The sequence below is a fragment of the Homo sapiens genome, chromosome 17 (assembly GCF_000001405.40).
Source record: "Homo sapiens chromosome 17, GRCh38.p14 Primary Assembly".
In the NCBI taxonomy this organism is placed as follows: Eukaryota; Metazoa; Chordata; class Mammalia; order Primates; family Hominidae; genus Homo; species Homo sapiens.
The window spans coordinates 14,615,096-14,619,573 of record NC_000017.11 but is presented as its reverse complement, the minus strand read 5'-3'; the positions used below and the strand labels follow the sequence as shown (position 1 = coordinate 14,619,573).

Below are 4,478 nucleotides of genomic sequence, written 5' to 3'. Positions count from 1 at the left end.
TGGGGATGAATCCTAGTTCAAAATCCAACCAACTGTCCCAGTGGGGCTGAATCTTATCCCAGAAAGGCTCAGCAATGAAGCTTTAATGCACCTCACCTCCTAGAACAGAAGATACAAACCAGAGAATTTCCTTTATAGACAGGAAGATAAAATGTATCCCTCTTGCTTCAGCAGACTGGGAAAGAGTGTTTTGTGTGGGGCGATTACCTCTACGCAGCAGTAACACACTCCAGCATCTCATGGGCTCATCACAACAAAAGTTTGTTTCTTGTTCTTTTATGGCTCTTAGTTGTATCAAGCTGGAGGTGATAATTGACCCCAAATAGGCACCTAGACCCTACAAGAGAGTGGAATGGAATGTTTGGTAAGCACTAACTGTCTCATCTACAAAGGAAAGAAAGACAGATGTGTGTGCTCTTGCCTCCCCCTTCATACAATAAAACCTCAAATAGAGGAAACAATAGAAATATCTAGAGAAATGCAGACAAATTCAAGAATGTCAGGATTCCCAGGCCATAGCCTAGAGATGTTGTTATAGAAGCCACCATCATCTGCATGTTGGCATGGTGTGGAGTCTGGAGGGCAACCTTGCTGAAGGAAGGTGGCTGGGTAGATAAACCTAATGCAGGATTTATGAGGCTTTATGGCTGCTTAGAGAAACCAAAGAATTCTGAGGCTCCATGTGGCTCCACTGTGGGGATACAAAAATGGTAGAAAGACTGGTGGACAGACAGAGGCCCACAATCAAGACAGAGACTGCAGTGTGCAGGGCATTTGCAACCAGAAGCCGATGGTCCAGACCATAGATCCTAGAGATAGCAACAGGCACAAGGTCAACAGTTTCCAGTCCTGAGAGAGGGCTGCACTCCCTCCATCCTGGGCCCCAGCTCCACACAGCCCTCCCCACACCCAGAGGCATTAATCAGGGAAGAGAGAAGCATGGAAAAAGAGAAAACAATCTGAAAGATCAAGCATTTCCTCCAAAGAGACTGAGTCATTGGAAAACCAACTTACATTGGAAACAACTGCGACACTAAACACTGGCAAATTTAATTTTTCCTCTTATTTCCAACATGGTGAGGAAATTCTGAGAAAAACCAGATACAGCATAGAAAATAAAGAAGTTAGAATTTCTGTGCACATCTAAATACAGTGTAAGTAAATTTGCAACCCGGCAACATACACTAATTTAATTACTTTGCATGGAAAATCTAGATGTAGTCATGAGCATTGATACAGAAAAATCTAGTTTCCTTGAGTTCTTCAACTAGAAGGCAACATAGATGAATGGCTTTCCTGGGCGTTGTCTGTGACAGCTGTCTCGTTTCATTTTCTAATGTGTGAGGCTTCATCGGGAAATGTGCACTGTTAACTATTTGACCCATGGCAGGGCTGAGACCCGAGAGCTGACCAGGAGGTAACAGGGCAGGAAAAGGTGTTAGAACAGGGAATACGTGCCTCGTGCCAAAGAAAAGCAAAGAAACAGAAAGTTGAAGCAGGGAAATGGCAGGCTGAAGAGTGATCGTAACATATTGGAGTCCCGCATCCCAACTAAACAAATCAGAGAGATCCGCAATGCATAAGTAAATAATATATATAAAATAATATATAACAATAAATGCATAAATAATAAATACCTAAGTTGCTCATATACAAGTTGGCAGAGATTTGGCTATCCACAAGGAAATCCAGGGGTTTTCGTTGATGATGTATCTGGGAGGATTCCAGGATATGGTTCAGCTGTATGAAAAACAAATTAAAGAATCCTAGATTATACTAAAAAGGTCGTGAATGTTTATGATTGTTTGTGCTTATCAGATTGTACAGAATACTAATAAAGGATAGGAGACTGGACAAATATCCCAGCTCCTTCACCCATAGGTGAGACAACTCTGAGAGTAAGCTCTATATAGTGTCCCAGTGATCCAAAGCATGAATGACAAGCCCCAGCCCCCCTTGCTCATAGCAGTACATGCTCAGTAACACAGCCTGTATTAGTGTCTTCCCCTTCCCTGTTCTACTTCCTCACTTCCTACACATGCTTCCTGGGATCACCTTCCAAATACCCATCCCCATTTTAATCCTCTTCCGAGGGTCGCTTCTGGGAGAGCCCAGCCTAGGACACTACCATGTGGAGTCTCAAGTACCACAGTGAACGAAGGATATTGACAGGAGAAATTGTATCCCATGGGGAGAGACCCGAATAATCAAGGGTCTGGAAATGATGTCTCATGAAGAGCAATTAAAGAAACAAGGGACATTCAACCTTAGGAAGAGGAGATTTAGGGAATGCAAAAATCTTTAAGTCTGAAAGCCTGGTAAGAGAAAAAGAGAACAGCTTGGCATGTGTTGATCCAGAAGGTGACCATTAATGTGAGGATTTGGATGAAAGTCTGTGTTGGGGTAAACTGGGTGCTTCAGCTCTGGCAAATGGATGTGAATTGGAGGCAGCAAAGACTGACTAAAAAGACATGATCGTAATAGACTTAGGCTGTTTAGAGTGCAGATTAGTGTTGAGATAACTGTTTGAAGAATGTTGATGTCTTTTTTATGAAGAATGTCGATGCTTTTAAAATTAGATTGCTAATCAGGCGGCAGTCACAAGTCTGATTTTCTTTCTTAATCACTGAAGGCTGTCTCCTTTAGCCTTCTGGATGGCTACTTTTAATGAATTTAGTGTGCCTCAGTATTTCCAAGGGGACTCACTGACTGCTTGACAGCCTCCAATTTGTGAAGATGAGTATGATAATCACCCTCCTTTCACAAGGCATAGGATAAAGAGACTGAGCTTAAAGTGAAGAAAAGACAGAGGCGTCCAGCCACATTAAAAACCACATTCTCGAGAACTAATGTGAGTGTTGGAATGTGAATCTCTTGTATTAGTCATTGCAATTTAATATTTACTGCACATGAGTTACCATCTATTAAAATTTAGAGTAAAATATCTGGATGTGACTCATGTTATATAAAAAGTCAGAAAAATTTTGACTTAAAAATACACAATAGTAAAGTCCTTTTTTACCTTAAAAGATAAATTAAAATGTGCTATAGAAAATAAAATATGCTAACCAGATAAATCATGGCATGGACTAGCCCTTTCATTGGTTAGGATAATTTCTGTTGCAACTCACAGAAAATTTTACTAATAGTAGCCTACTTCATGGAGACACTTAGTGCTTACCTGACAAGGAATCCTGGGATTGGCCCACTGGCTCCCACGTGTCCTCAAGGATGTAGTTCTTCCTTTCCTTCCACTCTGCATCCTTCGCATATTCACTTTTCATCCTCAGATTTTCACCCCATGATAAAAAGATGGCTGCCTTGGTTCCATGCATCGCCTTCTCACAATAGAACATCCAACACTCCACATGAATGTTATAACCACATGATTCACCATTGCCTAAAGCTGGAAGCAACCAAGATGTCCTTCAACAGGCCAATGGATAAACAAAATATGGTATATCCATGTAATGGGTAAAAAGAAGTGAGCTACCTTTGGGAGGCCCAGGTGGGCGGATCACCTGAGGTCGGGAATTCGAGACCAGCCTGACCAACATGGAGAAACCCTGTCTCTGCTAAAGATACAAAAATTAGCCCGGCATGGTGGCGCATGCCTGTAATCCCAGTTACTTGGGAGGCTGAAGCAGGAGAATCGCTTGAACTTGGGAGGCAGATGTTGCGGTGAGCTGAGATCATGCCACTGCACTCCGGCCTGGGCAACAAGGGAGAAACTCCATCTCAAAAAAAAAAAAAAAAAAAAAAAAAAAAACCGAAGTGAGCTACCAAAAAAGAAATAAAGAAATGAGCTACCAAGCCACAGAAAGACATAGAAGAACTTTAAGTAATATTTTTACATTAAAAAGGGCATTCCGAAAAGCTCATTTACTGTGTAATTCCAACTATATGACATTCTGAAAAGAAAAAAAAGCAAAACTATGGAGACTGTAAAAGAATCAGTGTGGTCAGGAGTTCAGGAGGAGCTAGAGGGGTTGAATAGGTGGACCACACAGGATTTTAGGACAGTGAACCTATTCTGTATGATACTGTAATAGTGGATACATGACATTATGCATTTGGCAAGAATTCACAAGACGGAGTGCATCCTAATGTGAACTTTGGACTTTATTTAATAATAATGTATCAATATTGGCTCATCAATCTTAACAAATGTACCACATTAATGGACGATGTTAATGATAAAAGGATGGCAAGACACAGGCTTGGGGTGGGATAAGTATATGGAGTTCTTTGTACTATGCGCTCGATTTTTTTGTAAATCTAAAACTATACTAGAAAATGAAGTTTGTTAACTATAAAAAAATTAAATACAGAAAAGGAGGTAATGAGGTCAGAAATCCCACTCTATATTTCCTTCATTTTATTAGAGAGGAAAATCTTTGCCAGAAACTGCAAATGCATGTTCCTTAACATCTCATTGGCCAGCTGTGGGTCAATTCTAGCTGCTGGGGAGTGTGGGG

At 41.0% G+C, this 4,478-nt stretch overlaps 1 long non-coding RNA gene across 1 annotated transcript; it reads right to left on the bottom strand.

Moving 5' to 3' along the window:
• Positions 1 to 233: 233 nt before the first annotated feature.
• LOC107984996 (uncharacterized) lies at positions 234 to 3,768 on the bottom strand. Its single transcript, XR_001753052.2, has 3 exons — positions 3,182 to 3,768; positions 1,638 to 1,740; positions 234 to 337 (listed from the first exon to the last, which is right to left on the bottom strand). It is a non-coding gene; the product is annotated as an uncharacterized LOC107984996 (long non-coding RNA).
• Between the last annotated feature and the right edge of the window lie 710 nt (positions 3,769 to 4,478).